Source organism: Homo sapiens, chromosome 13 (genome assembly GCF_000001405.40).
Source record: "Homo sapiens chromosome 13, GRCh38.p14 Primary Assembly".
NCBI lineage: Eukaryota > Metazoa > Chordata > Mammalia > Primates > Hominidae > Homo > Homo sapiens.
This window is the reverse complement of record NC_000013.11, coordinates 98,477,616-98,498,237: the sequence shown is the minus strand read 5'-3', so window position 1 is coordinate 98,498,237 and position 20,622 is coordinate 98,477,616. Positions and strand designations below refer to the sequence as shown.

At 46.7% G+C, this 20,622-nt stretch overlaps 1 protein-coding gene across 3 annotated transcripts in view, besides 8 other annotated features; it reads left to right on the top strand.

Moving 5' to 3' along the window:
* The window catches only part of STK24 (serine/threonine kinase 24), a 131,923-nt gene that overhangs the window by 78,870 nt on the left and 32,431 nt on the right, over window positions 1–20,622 (top strand). For 2 of the 3 annotated variants that reach the window (NM_001032296.4, NM_003576.5), the window contains exon 3: window positions 15,917–15,973. The exons of the other annotated variant lie outside the window; for it this stretch is intronic. In NM_001032296.4, coding sequence (NP_001027467.2) covers window positions 15,917–15,973 — 57 coding nt within the window. The remainder of the gene's footprint in view (window positions 1–15,916; window positions 15,974–20,622) is intronic. 3 annotated transcript variants of the gene reach the window in all.
* Window positions 1,453–2,287: an enhancer, noted in NCBI's record as "H3K4me1 hESC enhancer chr13:99148205-99149039 (GRCh37/hg19 assembly coordinates)". NCBI's record gives its function as "activates a minimal SCP1, AML or CMV promoter by ChIP-STARR-seq in naive H9 embryonic stem cells {active_cell/tissue: H9 hESC(naive)}" and the evidence as "EXISTENCE:reporter gene assay evidence [ECO:0000049][PMID:30033119]".
* Window positions 12,981–13,060: an enhancer, noted in NCBI's record as "active region_7908". NCBI's record gives its function as "activates an Ori minimal core promoter by ATAC-STARR-seq in GM12878 lymphoblastoid cells {active_cell/tissue: GM12878}" and the evidence as "EXISTENCE:reporter gene assay evidence [ECO:0000049][PMID:35858748]".
* Window positions 13,207–13,898: an enhancer, noted in NCBI's record as "H3K27ac-H3K4me1 hESC enhancer chr13:99136594-99137285 (GRCh37/hg19 assembly coordinates)". NCBI's record gives its function as "activates a minimal SCP1, AML or CMV promoter by ChIP-STARR-seq in primed H9 embryonic stem cells {active_cell/tissue: H9 hESC(primed)}" and the evidence as "EXISTENCE:reporter gene assay evidence [ECO:0000049][PMID:30033119]".
* Window positions 13,461–13,540: an enhancer, noted in NCBI's record as "active region_7907". NCBI's record gives its function as "activates an Ori minimal core promoter by ATAC-STARR-seq in GM12878 lymphoblastoid cells {active_cell/tissue: GM12878}" and the evidence as "EXISTENCE:reporter gene assay evidence [ECO:0000049][PMID:35858748]".
* Window positions 13,601–13,770: an enhancer, noted in NCBI's record as "active region_7906". NCBI's record gives its function as "activates an Ori minimal core promoter by ATAC-STARR-seq in GM12878 lymphoblastoid cells {active_cell/tissue: GM12878}" and the evidence as "EXISTENCE:reporter gene assay evidence [ECO:0000049][PMID:35858748]".
* Window positions 15,592–15,781: an enhancer, noted in NCBI's record as "active region_7905". NCBI's record gives its function as "activates an Ori minimal core promoter by ATAC-STARR-seq in GM12878 lymphoblastoid cells {active_cell/tissue: GM12878}" and the evidence as "EXISTENCE:reporter gene assay evidence [ECO:0000049][PMID:35858748]".
* Window positions 16,882–17,382: an enhancer, noted in NCBI's record as "H3K4me1 hESC enhancer chr13:99133110-99133610 (GRCh37/hg19 assembly coordinates)". NCBI's record gives its function as "activates a minimal SCP1, AML or CMV promoter by ChIP-STARR-seq in naive H9 embryonic stem cells {active_cell/tissue: H9 hESC(naive)}" and the evidence as "EXISTENCE:reporter gene assay evidence [ECO:0000049][PMID:30033119]".
* Window positions 19,986–20,045: an enhancer, noted in NCBI's record as "active region_7904". NCBI's record gives its function as "activates an Ori minimal core promoter by ATAC-STARR-seq in GM12878 lymphoblastoid cells {active_cell/tissue: GM12878}" and the evidence as "EXISTENCE:reporter gene assay evidence [ECO:0000049][PMID:35858748]".

The following is a 20,622-nucleotide window of genomic DNA, read 5'->3' as shown; positions in this document are numbered from 1 at the left end:
TGTTGGAAGGGATCATACACAGAGTTAACTTAGACCCTTCTTGTAAGTCTTTCGAGTATCCAGTGCAGACGTCTATCATATCTCTATCAACAGTTCAAACAATAGACCATCAGTGCTCAGCTAACTGGACACAACATCATTAGCATCTTAAGATCCAATCAGATGAGAGAGCCAATTCCAGAAACTCCAAAACCAATTCAGAAAATGCATCCATAAGACTTTGTTCCTCTAGAACCACTCTTGGTACCAAAATAGGTGTAGTGGGGTGTGGGCTTGGGACTCCCTGAAGTGAGTTGGTGGCTCAGTTGCTGAGTGCAGCCAGTCCCACTTGGTCTTTCTTGGTGAATTGAGGGTAGATTCCTTTAGAGAGTTAGTGTTACAGTTCACAGCATCTGTCCCCAGGACGCTGTACCCTGTTGTTTTTCCATTGCTGTGCCAGTTTTCTCTGTACATCCTGGTATCCACCCAGCTCTGCGCCAGGGATGGGAGGAAGGTGCCGTCTTCTTTTATCTAAATGAGAGACAAGCCAATGGGCAAGTCCAGAGCCAGGGTGTGGGTGGTCCACAGAATTTGTGTTAGTGGCTGGAGCTGCCCTCCTGAGCTTTGCCAGCAGGGCCCAGGTCTCCTGAGCCACCTCTGTTTTGGGAGCTCTTGAATTCCTCAAAGAGCATGACAGGTCATTTGAGGTAAGCAGTGTGAGATTGGGACAAGAGGTTCTGACCTCTCTTTCATGGCGTCCTGGTTTTCACTAGGGCATCGTCACTGTATCTGTGACATGGAAGGCAAAACAAGGGAACAGAAACATTGGTGTCTTACTCTTTTTGATCTGGCAGGCAGGGAAAAAGAAATGTGCCTTATAAATTTTGTTCATAGTCTGCCTGGAGTTTGTGGTGAGAGACCATAAACCAATTCCTAACATACGTGGTTAGTCCTACCTTCATAAGTGCTGCGGAGAAAACTGGGGCACAGGGAGGCTTGGGTGGGGCTTCTGGAGCCCTCAGTGGAGGGGTCAGGGAGCAGCTCACAGGGAGGGTGGCTTTGAGGCAGACCCCAGAGGAAGGCGGTGAGGAAAGCAGGACTGTGCCGCGGGCAGGGAGGTGGCCAGAGAAGAGGTGTGCCGAAGAGTGGGCCTGGCAGCTGAGGGGTGCCTGTCCCTGGGGCTGCTGGGCACCTAGCCTCTGCCAGAATCGGAAATGGGTTTCTTGCTCCTAGAAATGCGGGTCCCAACACTGTCCTACTCTAATCTCAGCATGTTAAAACTTGGAGGGGGAGAGTAGGATGTGTACCCGCAGATGATGTGGCTTGCGCATTTCACTGTCTGTTTTGTGACTTCTCTGCGTTGTTTTCTTAGGTTTTTGGCTGGTGATTTTAAACAAAATTGATTTAAGAGTTACTTGCAAATGTCTGTCCTGTTTCTGTGCCACTTCTGTTTTCACCATTTGTTGGCTCCGATTAATCAACTCTGCCCTCTAAAGGAATGGGTTTTGGGTTTGTGATTCTCTTTAAGTGGTGCAAATATAATAAGCAGAGTCTGCAACATTTTATAAACAGGATCACATGTGCAGCTCATTTTAGTGGCAATTTCCCCAGAGGTTTGTAAGTTGGATTTTTATTGCATTGAAGAGGGGGCACAGTGTTCTTTGAGAACAGCCAAATCGTTGATCTCGTGTGGGGACACACCCAGAGGAGCCCTTACTGGGACATGGAGGGTTTTTGTCTGGTGGCCATTGAGTTACCCTAGTCATTGGTTTCTGGTTGCGCAGCCACAGCCCACCGGGGCCCAGTGACGCTGGGGACTTCTGTTTCTTTGCTCAGTAGCCTCACGCCCTCCTTTGATGTGGTAGGGCAGTCAGAGTTGACTTCTTTTTTCCATGAGAATTCCCTTCCTCTAAGCAATAAACAAAATCTTTATCCTTGTGACTTCAGTTTGGATTGTGGCAATTCTCCCTTCCACTTTTGCTGCCTCGCCAAGGGTTGGAAATCTGACTTGTTTATTCCAAACATGAGGATTCTCTGGTTCTTACGAGCATGCTTGCCACCTCTTGACACAGTCCTCACTTCCCTGCATCAGTGTCTGCTCATCTGCTTAAATCATCCCACCCATGGCTCCCCACAGGGAAGCTGGAGACCTTTGTCCCCTCCCGCATGAGTGTAGGGCAGCCATGCACCAAGGCTTCCTTTGCCATTTGGAAGTCATCGGCTGCCTCCCTGATCAGTCTGGCACAGCTGCAACTTCTGGGAGAGGGAGAAGCACATCTGTTTTCTCTGAGAAAAATCTTTAGTGTGCAGGGATCTGCCCTTGAGCTTTTGTGGAATATTGAAATGGTCCATGGAGCCCGTGGTATCAGACTGTAGTGGGTAAAAGCAAAGCTGTTTGCTTTTGGGTGGACTAAACACATCAGCAACGACGAAACAAATCAGCAAGGAAATCTTGCTGTGAAATCACAAGGGCGTACATTTCATTTCGCAATCAATTATGGGGTAAAAATTGTAGGCTTAGTGCCGAAGATAATATAAAAGATCTGCTTTGAAATGTGTCCGAGGACAAGGACTATGATCCCTTTCTCTCTGCTGAACACACTGTCCTAGTGTAACTGAAGAAAGCCCCCGAAGACATTTGGCAGCTTCATTTTATGTTTTTCTCTGTCCAGAAAGTTGAATGGAATTAAAATTCCAATTAGGCTAAATATTTTACTTCTCCAAAAAGAAATTCAGCTCTGTTTTCTGGCTAATGTTACCTATAATTTAAAATAAGTATTAATGGCATTTTTAGTTCTTTTTGTCTCAATATGCACATTCTGCAAATTTAAACCTCTTGTCTGGGGTATCTAAACACATCTGATATATTTCAATAAAATAATTATGCCATATGCTTTCTTTTCTAAAACTTCTATATTCCTGAGTAAATTTCTACAATGTGGCATGATACAAGAGATCACAAATGTTAATTAGATTATGGAATAAAGGACTGCAGGTAAGTAATAAAAGGAGACTTATTTCCAGGGAGGCAAATCAATTCTCCTTCAGCAGTTCTTGTAGGACAGCATGACTTCCAGGCATTTGAGTAAGTAAAGACACCTGCTTCAAAATAAGGAAAGTGGGCTGCGGGAACCAGGCCCCTTTCTTGAATCTTGTCTGGTAGTAACAAGTTGTCGTGGTTGTTGCTGACATCGGACCTGGTTTGCTGGGTGCTAGACGGAGCTGGGAGGCTGTTTCTTGGAGCCCGCCATCCTGTTGCCTGGGTTTTATGTGCTGCCACAGGGTCATCTTCACCGAGGCGTTGGTGGTGGTTCCTTCTGTGCTGGATGCGGCGAGGAGCAGCTGTCTCTGCATCCCTCCATGGGTCGCAGACCCTTCTCCTGGGCCTTTAGCTGGGTGTTTGTGCCCCGGGGTGCCTCAGTGCGGGTGCCCTTGGATTTGCATGTCTGACCCTAGTGCAGTGTGACTGTTTCAGTAGCTCTCGGCTAACAAACTTATTATAAATCAAGAACACATTGATTTACATAACTGACAGTTCCTTCTGGAATAGAATTGTGCAGAAAATAAAAATGAAGTAGCAAAAGGTAGGAGGGAAGAGAACCAGAGGGTTCCAACACTAGAAAAAAAATGCCTCAGGACAATCAAGCGTTGAACAGACAACCACAGTGAACAGTCCCTTCCTTTGGAAGCTGTTTAGCTTGGGGTTAAACCCCATACATGGCAGTGGAAATATAAATATGAATTTGTCACCCATGCATTTGAAATACAGCATTTGCTGTTTGTGAACCAGCTCATTCCATAATTTTTCCTTATAATACTGTTAGAGGCACTTTTTTTTTTTTTTTTGAGACGAGTCTGGCTCTGTCACCCAGGCTGGAGTGCAGTGGTGCAATCTCGGCTCACTGCAAGCTCTGCCTCCCGGGTCCACGCCATTCTCCTGCCTCACTCAGCCTCCTGAGTAGCTGGGACTACAGGTGCCCGCCACTACGCCCGGCTAATTTTTGTATTTTTAGTAGAGACGGGGTTTCACCGTGTTAGCCAGGATGGTCTCGATCTCCTGACCTCGTGATCCACCCGCCTCGGCCTCCCAAAGTGCTAGGATTACAGGCTTGAGCCACCGTGCCCGGCCGAGGCACTTCTTAAAAATTTTACACTTTGGGAGGCCGAGGCGGGCGGATCACGAGGTCAGGAGATCGAGACCATCCTGGCTAACACGGTGAAGCCCCGTCTGTACTAAAAATACAAAAAATTACCCGGGCATGGTGGCGGGCACCTGTATTCCCAGCTACTCAGGAGGCTGAGGCAGGATAATGGTGTGAACCCGGGAGGCGGAGCTTGCAGTGAGCCAAGATCGCACCACTGCACTCCACTCCAGCCTGGGCAACACAGTGAGACTCCCTCTCAAAAAAAAAAAAAAAATTTTTTTTTTGCAGAATACCGTTAAGTCTTTATTCTTTCTCAGACATACTTTCTGACTTGGTCTTGTTTGGTCTCTTTCGGCTGGGTCTTGAAAGAATTAATGCTAAGTCATAAAAAATCACTTTTTTTGGTTTTCATTGATATTTGTAACATGTTACATATTGACATTAAGATTGTCATCTAGCAGAACAATATTGTAATTATTAGAAATACTCCACTTTTGCAGAAAGAACACGTGTTACTAGCTTCATAGCAAGATGATGGCATGGAACTTATCTGACTTGGCAGTTGATGATCATTTACTGTGATGTTTGCTCTTTAATGAAGATGGATGGGGAGGAAAGAAAAAATCTCTCTCTTGCCTCCCAGGGTACTTTTTCCTGCTTCTCTTTGTTGTTTCTTTTCTTTTCCCTCAGATTTAGGTTATTTGTAGTTGTATTTCCCTGATTGCTTTGTAAGCATCCTTAAGTTTAAGCAGAATGTTTTTATTCCTCTTAGTATCTGCTAGAATTTAAGCACAGAAACTTCCCATTAGCAGATTTAATGTGTCAAGTTTGTGTTTATGGAAAAGAGGAACATCTCTGTACATATTGGACGCGAGCACACGCACACACGCAACCCTTTCCAAAAGAGATGGTCTGTGACATAAATCCCAAGAAGAATGTTTTAGGGAATGCCCAGTGTTCTTTCCAGTTTATTAAAGGGGATCAGGAGTTCTTAAACCTTGCATGATGGAATGAGGCACGTAAACCTTTCAAATTACAGGCAATTGTTTTCATAAATTGATGTACTTTTTGGACAGTCAGATTAGAGTTCATTGGCTTCTAAAAGGAAATCAGTTAAAAATTAAATGTTAAGAACAGTCAAAGTATTTTTCTTACTGGAATCCTTTAGAAATTAATAGTCTGTGAATTTTTTTTTCTTGTGGTTCTTATTTAGGCATCTGATGCAATGTCAGGAAATCTGGATTTGAGTCCCAGTTTCTCTCCTTCCTTGCCATGTGCAGGCATCTTAATCTGTAAAATGGGAAGAGGCTGATTACCTAAGGGGAGACAGGATGATTGGGAGAATCCAGTGGAGTTCTCTTCATGAAGTATTTAGTACAGTATGAGTTGCTGCCCCATGGTACTAATATAAGATGGTGGTATGGATCCTCCCTTCTTGACCAGGGAGAGAAAAATTGTGGGGTTGTTTTCTTCCTAAGGAAGCCTGTGGCCACCCTGTGTGAAGGAGAATGAGGCTTTCCTGCTTTCCCAGCTCAAGCCTCTTGAAAAGCCTGCATCCTGCCCACCTGGGGGTGGGCTGTGCGGAGCAAATCCTGAGGATTGCTAGGGGTGGGCCGGTGGTATTCGAGAAAAAGAGCTGAAAAAGATTTAAATACCCGGAGACTCTCATACATCACATACTCATTTCCAAAAGCACCCTTTTTTCCTCCCCTAGAAAGGGCCCTCTTTGGGCCAGCCCCTCTCACTAGACTACAGCTTCCTATCGCAGAAAGGGCTTCGCTCTTCACACATAGAACTGCACCCTCCCACTTTCTAGGAGTTCTCATCCTTCCTTAATAGGAACCTCTTCCTCCTCCTCTTCCTCCTTGATTTTGGCATTATGTTGTGATGCCCTTAAAAAATACTGTGCCCTGAAGGAGTTGCTAAAATTACCAGTTCCTTCACGTTTTGGAATTATTCAAGGGCAAAACCATTTGAGCCTCTTGCGATCTGTTGATTTGTTTACACACACACACACACACACACACACACACACACGCGCACGCACTTTAAAGGAGGTGAATTGATCTATTTCTTCACCCACCCTTTTCTGCCTATAGTTTTTATTCTTTCTTGAGTAAATTTTATTAATAAATTATTGAAATTGTCTAATTCTGTATGTTCAAATTTACTATTGTAAAATTTTGCCATGTGTTTTATTTGCATTAAAAATTTTTTCCTGTCCTTTTATTGCTCTATTGCAAATGGATATGTGATCTATTTTTTCCTTGGTTATAGTAACTGGAAGTTATCTATTTTAAAAATGATTGGATTCATTTCTCATCCCAATATTTTTGATTATTTATGCATGTATCTTTATTCTATTCTTTGCTTTCCTTCTTAGACTTTTGGATTGAACACTTAGTATTTTTTTTTTTTTTTTGGCTTAGTAATGAATGTTTGTAATGCTGTGGGTTTCCTTGAAATAAATCTTTGGCTGGATTGTATAGCTTTTGGTGTTGCAGTGTTTCCAGTATTATTTGTAGCTAACTTGTAGTGATGGTTTAGATTTTTTTCTTTGATGTGAGGATGTGATCCAGTAATTTTCAGTTGCTTCGTTTTGTTCCTCTTTGTGTTATTTCAGGTTTTATCGTGCACCCCTATGTTTAAGTTGATGTTGATGTTACAGCGGCCTTTCTCCCAGTGAACGTTTGTTGCCAGCACAAGAAAACGTTCCTTGCTTTGAAGCACTTCTTCCTGCATTTGGGGCCCTCTGGAAGAGCGAAGCCTGGGGTCTCCCTCCCCGCTCCTTTTCCTAATCAGCAGTGATCTCCCCCTACCCCATGCTCATACCTAAAAATAGTGACTAAGCCACCTGTTGGGAACTTGGACATTAGTTTAGGGTCAGCAGAGAAGGCATTGCTCGCAGGGAGATGAGAAGGGGTGTAGGTCCGGTGGGCTTCTGCATTCTTCTGTAAGGGGGCTAGCTGTACCCCCAGCTCACGGGAACGTGGTGAGGACTGGTGACATGATGTACGCCAGAAACCCAGCGCAGTGCCTGGCATCTGAAAGGGAAGGACAACCAGTGCTTCCCTCTCCACCCTAGCCTGACAGCTCCCCCGGCTTTCTGTGCTGGGCTGGTCCCCATGCATCTTTGCAGCTCTCTCTCGTTTTCTCCAGAGAACACTTCTCATTCTCCATCTAGCCTCTCCTTCACTGTGGGAAGCCTCCTCAGGTTAGTAGGCAATCAGTAGTGACATGATTTGCTACAGAAACTCCAGTGTTCTGTTTTTTTTTTTTTTTTAATGTAGGCTGCCTTCCCTATGGGAGTGGGTTGGAGACGTTGAGCTGCTGTGTGCCTAAGTTGGACGTTTTTGTTTGCGAACACAAGGGAGGATGAGGCCTTCCTTCCACATTGTCCAATCCGGGTTTTCTCCAACACTGGAAGCTGTCACTGCTGGCTGGTTCTTTTCTAATAATGATCACCTGGGAGAATGGAAGGCCGGCGCCTTTACTCCACATTCATCACGTGGAAGCTTTGACCCTGGACGTTAGTCCAACTTAGTATTGTATGTCCTGCCCCCACCCCTTTAATTGTGTTGCTGAGATAATGTAAGAGTTCAAAATGCAGTTTGGAACTAGGGTAGTACATGGGAAGAGTGACCCACAGGATGTAATGTTTTCCGGTGAATATAGGGTCCTCTTATTAACTAAAGATAATAAGTGATAGGGCTGGACTTTATTTACCTAGGGTGGCTTGCATATGATCAACATGCCCTTTGAGTTAAAAATTTGGCAATAGTTCACTTGTCAGGAAGGAAAAACTCTTTTTCTCTAGGTTAGGTTCAGCATTTGGGGCCTGCAGATTAAACTGATAAGTGACATATTAATGAGAGAAAAAGGTTTATATCTGTGCACACAGGAGCCAGCAAAGGAAGCAGCTGGCTTGCTGAATATCCCACCAGAGTGTTTCCTCAATGTCACAGAAATGCAGGCACCCATCTCCACTCCCTCCCCTACCTACCTGCTGTTGCTGTTTGTCCTGGCAGAGCTGGCTGTCTTGGGTGCAGAGGAGGACACCATCTTGGCTTCTGGCTTCTCTTCTTTCCATGCCTGTCCACTGTGGGTGCTCATCAGTGCCACTTCTAGAACCGTTTTGGGCCTTTCCCTGACCTTCTGCTTTGATTTTCTCATTGCTTTTACTTTGCTTTTCTCCTCGCTCTTACTTTCCTTTTCTCCTCATGTATTTGTTGTTGTAGGCAGTGGCTGGTCATTTGTTCTATTAGCACAAGTTTCGCTGACTTCCCATTGCTTATTAAATTAACTTTGAACACCATCAGCTGGCTTCAAGGGTGTCCCTCTCATTCCTAGCTGCCCTCTGCGAACAGGATTTTTCCTCCTCTTCTCCACCTGAGCCTGTGAGAAACACACCCCCTGCCCCAGGCTGGCAGGTCACAGCCCTTCAGGGAGCAGCTCAGGTGCCGCCTCCCTCCTGGAGGTTAGACGGACCTTCGTGAGCAACCAGGTGTTCCCTGTCTTTTGTGGCATCTGCCACTGGCTGTCTGATGCTAATTATTTGCCCACTTTTCTGTCATTAGAAGTTCCTGAAAGCCAGAGCCAGGGTGTTACTCACTCTGCGTTCCCCCTCAGCCACCCTGGGTACCTAGTAGGTATGTTATGTGTTAGATGAATCAGTTAAGAAATCCTAGCGTCTGTGAGCCTGAGGAACAACCACATAAGCTTTTCCAGCTCAGGAATGGTTCCTGCACTTTGAAGATGGTCAGGGGCTGCTCTGAAGGTAAAATAGGCAACAGGCTTGGATTTCTTCCGGGTTCGCAAGCCTGCAGTTCAGACAGAGGACACTGTGGAGTTAACACAGTAATAGTGGTTCAAGTTGATGAGTCTTGCTGTGTACACGGCCTCACTTCATCATCATCGAAGCCCCTCTGAGGAGCATGCACATTAGTCCCGGGGGCAATGGGAAGTGGAGGCTCATAGGCGAGGCCTTGTTGTAGTTGCCATCAGAGCTGGCCTGAGCCTGGATGCAAACCAGGCCTTAAGGCTTTGAGGCCACATGCGTCATCTGCGCGGAAAGGTACCTTTTACAAAAACTCACGCTCTTAAGGAAGTCTGTGACCCCGTGTGATTTTAATAAAGCCCGCTGCATTGTTTATACCTCTTGGTCTTGGCCTTTGGTTACAGCTGGTGAAATGTGGAGGCTGCCAAGGGCATTTCAGGTGCAGAGCAGAGTTGCAGTTTCGAATTCCTGTTTTAAAATCTTCACTGTTAGCTGTGTAGCATCTGCCCTTTCTCGTTTGTCTTTTTTTTTAACCTTGGTGGGTTCGTGTGACCTCTGCCAAGCTCCTGTGAGAGTTGTTAATGTGGGGGCCCTGGTTCCGGTCAATGATTCCGGGTTCTTAGGAGGCACTTCCAAATACTTTGGGGCAAGTTTGCCTGGAAGTGCTATGGTTATTGATAGTATGTCTATATTAAATTAATTTCTGTAAGCAAAAATTACCAGAAGCAAAAGCTAGTGTTTGCAGCTCCTATTACAGAAGGCGAACTTTCCCAATATGTTAAAAACTCCTACTTTAAAAAAAAGGTCAGTAACCCAATAGAAAAATGGACAAAGGATATACACAGCTCACAGGAAAGAAAATATGCATGACTCTTCAATATATAAAGATGTTCAGCCTTACAATAGGAGAAAGATAAATAAAACTCCCCTGAAGCATCCTTTGTGTATGAATGAATAACTGGCTTAATTTGCTGGGGCTGCCAGAACGAAGTAGCGCAGACTGGGAGCCTTCAGCAGGAATTCGTTTGCTAATAAACCTGGAAAGATGTTGGTAGGGTGGTTTCTTGGGAGGCCTCTCCCCTTGGCTTGTGGATGACCGTCTTCTCCCTGTGTGCTCATGTGGTCTTCCCGTGTGTGTGTGTGTGTGTGTGTGTGTGTGTGTGTGTGTGTGTGTGTCTTCATCTCTTTTTATGACACCAGCCGTATTGGATCAGGGCCCACCCTAATGAGCTCATTGCAACTCAGTCACCTCTTTAAAGAGTCACATTCTGCAGTGTTGGGAATTGGGACTCCAACATGTGAATCGTGGGTGTGTGGGAGAGGGAAGCACAATTCAGTCCATAAAAATGACCAAAAAATAATAATAAAATAAAACTTGATGACACTGTGGCATGGGAAAGGGGGAAATTAGCACCCTCAGACACTGCTGAGGCCATATATGGGACAGCCTCTTTGGAGGGTCACTTGTCAGTATCTGTTAAAAATTCAGATGGAGTCCCTTCACCCAGCAGGTCTGCTTCCAGGACCCAGCAAAACTGACAAATGTACAGCTCTTCCTTGACACCTGGGCCGTCAGAGCGAAAAATGGAAACAATGTGAGCTCAATAAGGCATGGGCTAATTATGGTTAAAAAAATGAGGAAGTCCTTTACATATGGACTGCTCTTTAAGAAACTTTAGGTAAAAAGCAAGGTAAACAACAGTGTGTGTAGAATGCCACCGTTTGGGTAAAAGGGGGGTAAAGTTTTGTAGGTATTTGCTCGTATGTGCATAACTATTTTTCTCTGAGGTTACATTAGATGTCGTGATGACTTGCTGGGGCAGGGACGGTTGGTTTGCTGGGTAATGGGGGCCCAGGGTGGGAGGGAGACTTCTCACTGTATATACTTTGGCACCTTTTAAATTTTCACTCCAGAATTTATTAATTAAATGAATACTTTTATTTCCCTGATGAGAAAATTGTATCACGAGGTCATTCATAACTTAGGTTATTTGAGGTTGTTGAAAAAACATGAAATTATTTCGATTAAAGTCATCATTGTGTTGAGAAGCCTGCTGGTTTATTTTTCTTGGGGAATGAGTGCCTCAGAAGTCATGGTTTGGAAGGTTTTATGAGGACAGTGGTTCCACATCTGCAGGACAGAGCTGGGTCCTTCCCGGAGAACAGGCTGCCACTCAGACGCTCCTGCCATGAGGCCTCTGGTGCAGAATACGTGAATCATTGTACCAGGCTTCATTTTGCTTAGAAACTACTTAGAATTGTTAATTGGGCCCTTTTGGTTTTACCAGGTTATTCAGAGGCATTTCTGGGTGATGATGTTGATAAAGCTGATAGCACTTTGCATCTGTTGAGCACCATGAATTTTGCCAAGTGCTTTCCCACTCATGATCTCATTTAATTGTCACTTGGAACTGTGAGGTTGGAAGCACCGATCTGATTCCCATCTTGTTGTGGATGAAGAATTTAGAGGGTTTAAATGACTTGCCTGATGTCTCCTGGTAAGAGCTGGTCTTCCTGCTGCAGGAGTTTCAGTGTGTAAGCCAAGACGAGGAAGAATGGCTGAACGGTGCTTCTGGTCAGGAACCATGTCAGATTTGTCAGCGTCCATCGTGGGTGTAGTTCAGCGGTTCTCTGTTGGGTGATTTTGCCCTCTGGGGGACACTGACGATGTTTGGAGACATTTTCAGTTATCAGAACCTGGGGTGTGTCACCGGCATCTAGTGGACAGAGCCAGGGGTGCTGCTGAACACCCTGCAGTGCATGGGGGAGGCCTGCAGCAGAGCTGAGCAGCTCCAAAAGTCAGTGCTGGGGTGGAGGATCCCTGGTGTGGCTGTGAAGGAGAGCCTTGCCTGCAGCCCCCAAAGCTTGTCTCTTGCTTTCCCAAGCTTATCCGTGTGTTCACCTTTGAAGGTTTCTTCCTTAGGATTGGTAGTGGTAGAAACGATTCTTTGGGATCTCATTGGAGGCACATTTCAGGGCCCTCTTCTGGCGCCCATGTTGACTGTCTGTTGTCCTACCTTCCCAGTGCAGTGCTGCAGGGGTGTGGCGCGAGTGCGGCCCACATGTATGGGCACCAGAAGACTGAGACCCGGCCTTCACTCTGTCCCCTTTTTCTTTCTTTTTTTTTTTTTTAATACTTTTAAGTTCTGGGGTACATGTGCAGAACGTGCAGGTTTATTACATAGGTATAGATGTGCCATGGTGGTTTGCCGCACCCATCAAACCGTCATCTACATTGGGTATTTCTCCTAATGCTGTCCCTCCCCTAGCCCACCACCCTCCGACAGGCCCCAGTGTGTGATGTTCCCCTCCCCGAGTCCATGTGTTCCTGTCCCTGCTCCTCTTCCGCTTCCTCCCATTTCTGTGGGAAGGAGGGGAAAGCTGCTGTCTTAGTGGCTGGCGTTGGGTGTTAGGGTCCTCCTCCATTAATGGCTGGTGCATAGAGCACAGGAAGAGAGCCCCAGAAGTGCCAGGCGGTGGTGCAGCTGCTGCCTGTGTCTAGCGGGCTCCATCCGGTCCCCCGGGCCGACCTTCAGCGGCTGGAATGCTTGCAAACCTGAAACCGCCTTCGCAAAATGATGACTGAGACTAAAGAGATCGAACTTAACTGACTCCATCTTTCTAACCTCCAAGCTGTCCTTGTTCATTCCTGGGCACAGGCTGACTTAACTTTGGGAGAAACTTACAGTTTAAACAAAGGCGGTAACAGCCCTTTGCCAAAGCAGACCTCCTTCTTGCCTGGGGACTAGATTGCTTTTGTAGGACTAACATTAGCCACAAGATTAGAAATTATGGCTTAGGAGTCAGGCAGCTTGGGGCTACAAGATTCTGAGCCTCTCTAAACTGCTCCTAAGATCAGTGCCTGAGATATTTTGCAGGCCCTGCACTTGATGGATCAGCTGGCCCCACTCAGATCAATAAACTGGTTCATCTGATCTTGTGGCCCCCACCCAGGAACTGACTGAGCACAAGAAGACAGCTTTGATTCCCCGTGATTTCATCTCTTACCAATCAGCACTTCTGGCTCACTGGCTTCCCCTACCCCACCAGCTTATCCTTAAAAATTCTCCCCGAATGCTCGGAGAGACTGATTTCAGTAATAATAAAACTCTGGTCTCCTGCACAGCTGGCTCTGCGTGAATTACTCTTTCTCAACTGCAGTTCCCCTGTCTTGATGAGTCGGCTCTGTCTAGGCAGCGGGCAAGGTGAACCCACTGGGCGGTGACACACCCAATGAGGTTGAAAAGCAGGTTCCACCCAGAGTGGAGCTTTTCCTGATGCAATATCCCACCCCCTGGTTGTTGGTGCTGGTGTGTGAGTCACAGGCCCAGCCCGGGTATTTGAGACGCAGTGACCTCAATAAGGACTTGAGCTGGTTTCCTGAGTGCCCTCTGGTGAGCCTTGTGTCTGGGTAGCCTTGCCACCCAGCGCGTCTGCTACCAGGAATGAGTTGGAGGGAAGCGGGAAGGCTGTGTTATTTCTCCATCTTCCTCTCCAGGAAGGAGGCGGCCTTGGTCCTGAGGCGGGGTTTGCTCTGGGTAGAGAGCTCTGGATGTTCTGTTGTTGCTTGCACGTCCCCAGAAGGATCAGGGCGACACAGAAAACTTGGTTGAGGTGTCTTGCTAGGGCTCCTTAAAAGGAGAAGGTAGCCAGGTGAAACTTATCTTGTTTGCTTGGCAAGTGGTGACGTACCTTCGTGGTCAGATTGAGAGAGCAGCGAACTGAGGAGGGCGGAGCTTTGGAAGTGCAGAAGGACGAGGGGGTGGTCACTTGTGCCTTGCTGCTCCAGGAAGCTGCCTGGTGACCCTCAGTCCCCTAAGTCAGCAAAAGATTGTTTCCCAGGGTGTCATATTGCACAGCTGGCTACAGTGGGAGAAGAGGCGGGGAGATTACCTCCCTGCTGGGAGCTCCCCTTGCTGTGAGCAGACTTAATGCCCAGAAAATAGAAGGGATGGGAGCCAGTGAAACCAGTTAAACAGCAGCTGTTAAAAAGGGAGTGGGAGTAGAAACGTCAGAGTTCCCAGCTCTCTTAGGGAAAAGCGATTTAGATTTCCTTTGCCATCTAGAAAGATACTGGTGTTTTCCTGGAAGAGCTTACTGTGGCATACCCATTCCCCAGGAGCAAGCATTGTGGAAGCCTGCAGGCGAGCGTGTGTGTGAGATGAAGGTGTGCTGAAGGACACTCTTGATGATGGAAGCTTCCCTGAAATCAGAACCTGGGATCACCAAGCCTCCTCAAGGCAGGTGCCCGTGACTGGATGGTTATTGAATGAGCGACATGCCTGTCCCTCTGAGTTGGGTGTCAGACACATCATTCGAGGTTTCCGCACTTGTCCGGTCAAGACTGAAGTTGTCTTTATTATCTTAGCAGTCAAGGGCATTTAAACGCTTGAAAAGCATTCAACATACATTAAAACTTGGGCTGTTTATTTGGACTGTCTTAGAATCAACTCCAGATGGCAGGATTTAGTTTGAATTGTGAGAGGAATGTATTTTATAAATGCAGTGCATCTTACCGTTAGCGCCTCCCTAGAGTCAACACGAGTTACTCTTCCTTGGTCACAGGGTCCACAGTTAACATTTACTGAGCTCGAGCACACCAGCGCTGTCCCTGAGCACTTGAGTTTGCTGTTAAGTGGAAAATGCAGAGAAGTAAACCTGAAATGAAAATCAGAGCAATAGATAATAAAAGTAAAGTTTGCCCAGGGCGTGGGGAGGGAAGACAAGTGAAGCATTTTCCTGACTTGCGGAACCTCCAAAAGCAAAAAGGCCTGGGAAGTTGGGGCGTGTTCTCAAAGGGTGAGCTCACTTGGAGTCAGCGCAGTGAGACCTGGAGTCAGGGGCGAACTGAGGGGTCTTCCTTGGGTGTTCTAAGAGCCGGACTCAGTGCTCTCCCAAAGGGACCAAAGAGCCTTAAAAAAGGTTTCTTCTTTTTTTTTCCTCCATGTGTGCAAAAGCCACCACCGAGTCCTGAGTCAGCAGCGGAGCAGGCTGACGTCTGAACCCCGTGAACCCACTGTGAACCCAAACTCTGGCGGTGGCGTCCCGTGCCAGCCATGGGTTCTTGGCTGCTCGCCGTGGCCAGGCTCTTGGCCAAGGCCTCGTGCAGAAGCTCAGGAGACAGCTGCCCGGGCCCCTAGGTCGTGAAGTGGGAGTCGGGATCCAGACCCTGCCCAGGCTGCCCCGTGCCCTGCACTGCCTGGCTCCCCAAGGAGGGCGGACAGGTTTGCGGGCTTGTTTTCCAGGGAGTAGCACTTTGGGATTTGTGGTTTTAAAAAGAGAACTCTGCAAGTCATGAGGGCTGAGTAGCTTGAAGAGAGACCACAGGGAAGGCAGGCGCAGAGCTGGGGACTGTGAGAGCCGGGGCCTTGAGAGGACACAGACATGCATGTTAGGACAGACCTGCTTTTCTGGAAAGCTCCCTGAGGGGAGACTGTGGCAGCTTTGGGAGGTGCTAGAATTGGCTGCCCTTCTGCCAAACAGGCAAGTGAGTCGGAGGCCACGCTAGGCGGCCCCTCCACTCACAGGGACCTGGAGACACACGGTAGGGGGTGGGGGGCGCAGGGGAGGCTCAGTGCTGCAGGAGGGAGGAAGAGGAGAGGGTCTTGCCTTGGCACTGCTCTCCCGATGTGTGTGACACCACTGCCTCAAGTGGCTGCAAGTTCTCAGCTCTCACTGTGCCTGAGGATCCCCCAGTGAAGTGGCCTAAAAATGGAAACACCCAGTCTGCTTTCTGAGATCCTGGGGCAGTCGGTGGAACGCATGCCCTGGAGCCCTGGGGAGTCAGGTGCGGGCCCCCGAGCACACCCCACAGCTCCCTCCCAGAGCATGATGGGGGTGTCCCTGCACTCTGGAGGTCCCTGCACAGCTCTCACTTTGACACACTTCCCGTGCTGGTACATGTTTGTAAAACTTTCTAGTTCCAATATAATTGTGAAAAATACCCTTTGATTATTAAAAAAAATTTTCCTGGATTCATTTTGAAAATGATTCTCTTCTTTTTTTTGTTTTATAGGATACAAAATTATGGATAATAATGGAATATCTTGGTGGAGGCTCCGCACTAGATCTAGTAAGTATTATGTTGGATGCAGAATACGTATCAAAGCTTTTTCTCAGGAAACCTGGGTTTTAAAGAATCCATTGCATGTATCCATTTCTTTTTCTTTCTTTCAAGTTGCATTAAAAAAGGAACCAAACTATTCCTTACGTGTTTTTTTGCTTCTTATATATCACTAAAAATTATTGGTTTACCTTTTTTTTTTTTTTTGAGATAGAGTCTTGCCCTGTTACCCAGGCTGAAGTGCAGTGGCGCAATCTCAGCTCACTGCTACCTCTACTTCCTGGGTACAAGCGATTTTTGTGCCTCAGCCTTCCAAGTAACTGGGACTACAGGTGCATGCCACCACACCTGGCCAATTTTGTGGTTGTTGTTGTTGTTGTTGTTTTTGGGTAGAAATAGGGTTTTGCCATGTTGGCCAAGCTGGTCTCAAACTCCTGACCTCGAGTGATCCCCGCTCTCAGCCTCCCAAAGTGCTGGGATTATAGGCCAGGTGCGGTGGCTCATGCCTGTCTGTCTGCTTTTGAAACCAGCTGTTTTGTTTCATGGGAAACCAATAAATGTATTCATAGAAGGAAGCAAGGAAGGATCATGCCTGGAATTATCTCAACTGAGAACAGCTGGGTAGCTTATTTTCTGAAACAGGTTCTATTTACTTTTGTAGGGCTGTTATCTCATCGTTTCATATTTCACATGACAACTTAGTTTCCAAAATAAGCATGTAATATTGTAATTTTGGAAGTAAGGGGCAGGGTGTGATTATGAAGGTCGGATGTCGGATGTGGGAGCAGTGGTCATGCCTAAGGGGAACACACACTTCCCTGCTTGCCAGCGCTCCCAGGGTGTGGAGGTGGGGCTGGCCCGCACCAGATGTCTCCTCTGAACTCTCCCTCAAGTGCCTTCTGTGGCCTCCAGTCCACATGTAAGGTAGTGGAAGCCAGGTGGAGGGTGGCTGTACCGTCCTGGTCTGTGATTTGCTTGTGTAAAACATGGCTTCCTATTGGGTTTTGATGCAGTGCTTACAGATAACCAGCATATGTCATGAGCACAGCTGAAGTCATCCTTGAAACATAGTAAATGCAAACGAATTCGTGCAGCTGTTTAGCACTTGCTGTCTCATCCCCGCTGTGGCTGTGCAGCGAAGTCACTGTGATCACTCTTTCCCCACCCCTTCTGTAAGTGCAGGTCATTTAGGTGAGTGGTGATTTTCAAGATAGGCCAGATCTGTCATTGCAGTGTTAGAGGTTGGGTCCTGGATGATAGGCGGCCATCAGGATGACAGGGCTGTGGTTGCAGGGAGAGCTGAAGTTAGCTGTGTTACTTTAGCATAGTCTACACGGGTATTACTCATTAAGGAAAGGAAACCCCTTTGAGAGGAAACTTCTTAGGCCTGGTACAGTGGTTCACGCTTACAGTCTGTTCACTTTTGGGAGACTGAAGTGGGAGGATCACTTGAGCCCAGAAGTTCAGGACTGGCCTGGGCCACATAGCAAAATCCTATCTCTGTAAAAAATTTAATTCTAGAATAAAATGAAACTTTTTTCTCACAGTAATAATAGCAATTGATAGTTTGTTTTGGGAAGATAAACTTCTGAAACTATATGTATCTGCAGAAGGCTAACGTACCCAATTTACATAATCAAATATTATTATAAACCATAAAAATAATTGATAAAAATGGTATTAAAAAGGGAGATTTCAAGAAAAATTAATATGGTATAAAATTATATTAAAAAGGGAAAAACAGCAATGTAGTGGGATTACTTTTACAACTTATTTTGGTTCCTTTCCATAAATGTACACATAAAGAGCTTTTCATTTTTTCACCCTGTTGGGAAATACTACAGAAATGTAGAAAATTACCTCATTTTATGTAATTAGATTTACTATTATCTAAGTGAATTTCATTTGTAGCATATACGAAGTTGTTTACAGGGATTCTTTTTCCAACATTAAGTCCTTCAGAAGAGCAATTCCAGGAATGCTTTAGCGTGTTCATATTTAATGATATAATAATTTATTTGGTGATAACCTTCAGATTTCTTTGAATTGCAGTCTGTGAAATTTTAGATATTACAGTTGGAAGGAAGGGTAAAACTCTCCACTTAAAAAATCCCACATAGTGTGAGACTTCCAGCAAACTGTTTTTCACTTCTGCTTAAGGAGTGCTGGTGACAAGGGACAGACATTCCTTTTTGAATGCCCCTAATCGTCTCATTTAATTGGTGCAGGAATGGAGACCCTCACGGGTGAGGGGTCTCAGCTAGGAGACCTTCAGGGTTGAAGGGTCCCAGCTAGCAGATAGGGCTGGGCCTTGACCCTTGCTCTGCCAGCTCAGAGCCTGTGGCCTCCCTTGACCCCGCAGTGTCCTCTACCAACCTCTGATGTTGTTGTCTTTCTCCATCTTTACCCTTTTCTGTTGGCCTGCTCTCAGCCCCTCAAAGAGGCCACACTTTCTTGGGAAGGGGTGTTTTGGAGGTAGGCTGGGAGCTGTTGCAGTCTTTGCTTCTTTCCCACATCCACAGCACCGGGCCCCCTCGAGGTGCAAGGGTCTCCCGGAGCTGAGGGGAACTGGAAGTCCATCTGGAAATTTACAGATGCCTGGGGCACCCTAGAGAGGGGAAGTGACTTTGCCCCAAGTTAAAAATTGGGTGGCAGACAACATGGCATATACATAAATCTCGGGCCCCACGTATCAGAGCGAAGGACGAAGCAGAGAGGCTTTAGGACTTGAAGGCTGGGATGAGCCCAGGTCTGCTGTTGGGCATGGGCATCCCTCAGCTGGCAGGGGTGCATCCCTTAGCAGCCACCTTTTCCGCTCTCCAGGTGCTTTTTAACTTTTAAAAAATGCAAATTTGGGATTTCAGGTGGAGACTAGAGACAGTATTATTAAGAGCCATGAATATAAAATAGAAAATAGGTACACATTTTATTTTGAATGCACATATTTGAGTGTGTGCTCAGTCCGTTGATTTAAAAAAATTTAAAATAAAATGGTAAATGGAAATTAAGTGTCTATATGATCCCAAGGCCGCTGGGCTCTTGGAATATAGCTTGAAAACTACTCAAGTCAGTCATCTCTCAAGTTCCAGCCGCCTTGCCTGTAGGGTGCCCTGACTTAGAAGAGCATAAGAAGTATCACACAGTCCAAGACACCCTAACTTAAATGCAGTCTGTCTTTGTAGCCCGGGGAGGGAAACCATTTTTCATTCAGCATAGAGTTGTGTGCCTCCCGCGTGTCAGGGGCTGCTCTGGCCATTGGGGATTATTGCCGTTGGACACAGCAGCGGAAAGTCCTGCTCTTGGGGAGTTCTGGTGGGGAGGTCTGTCAATTACACCGTTTGTTAGAAGGTTCCTTCCTTACAAGGAAAACAATGCAGGCGAGGGAGGTGAATGGGGGAGCTGGAGTGAGGATGAGCCACAGAGGGCCTGAGACCAGAAGGTTTTAGCTGATTAAAAGATCAGCCAGTGTTGCCAGAGAATCCGAGGGACAACCTTGGAATCTAATTACAAAGGGACAATGCTACATAAACCAGTCACTTAATCAGGCAGAGATGTTTGACGGACTTAAAAAATGAGTACACGACATGGGTTTTAAGAAATGAGATGGCATATTCATTAATGTTTAGGCCAAGTTGCCATCATAGCAGCTCTAAAACAGTGTCTCACAAAAGATAGAAATTTATTTCTCCCCCTGCACATGGGGTCAGTGGCTCTGGTCCATACCGTCACGGTCTGTGCTGGTGGGTGGCTTCAGCATCTGGAGCCCCAGGCTTCCCTTGGTCTTCAGCCATTGTCCTCTCCCACTGCCAGTGCTTCAGGGCCAAGACCAAGCAGGGGCATGGGGCACATTTGCTCCTGTCTGACCCACTGGCGAGGTCTTAGTCACCTGACCACAGGCTGCTGCTCAGAGTCTGGGAAATGTGGTTTCTTGTTGTGGCTGAGTGCCCCGGCCAATAGTCCCTGTTACAGAGCTTCGAAGCAGGGGAGGACAGGCTCGGGGAGGGGGAGTTAGAAGTCACACAGAGGTGGGATGTGGTCTAGGTTTTTTTCCTGGGTCCTATTTGAAGAGTCTGCAAGTGCCTGAATGATGGAGAGCATGGTCGCAATGGCGAACACCAGCTGCTGACTTGGAGAGCTTGGCCTGGTCCGAGCTGCTCATGAGGCACTCTGGGGGGTAGACAGCAGCCGAATACCCTTTATAGTGAATTTTGACGCAGAAAGGATTTCCCCCCAAGTAAGGAGAGTTTTATCTCTTTTTCTCCCCTTCCTCCTCGTTCCCCATGGGCATATAAGTCAATGATGGATGGTGTTCAGGGCAGATTTAAAAGGGCAGAACCATGCAGACAGTCATCACAGAGCCAGCCCTTAATTATCCAGGGGAGGATTTTCCATGAGTGTTCCTCACCTCTTCCTCTTAGCGCCCTTTGGGAATGACAGCAGGCCGCTCTGCCGTTGCTTTTGGGAGACTTGGTAATGGAAGGGAGGTGGTTAAGTCCAGATCTAACCACAGGTATTGATCGTCGGCTTGGGCACAGACTTGGTGAAGGAGGAGATGGGAGATGGGACCCGACTCTAATGTGACTTTTTTTTTTTTTTTTTGAGACGGAATCTTGCTCTGTCACCCAGGCTGGAGTGCAATGGTGCGATCTTGGCTCATT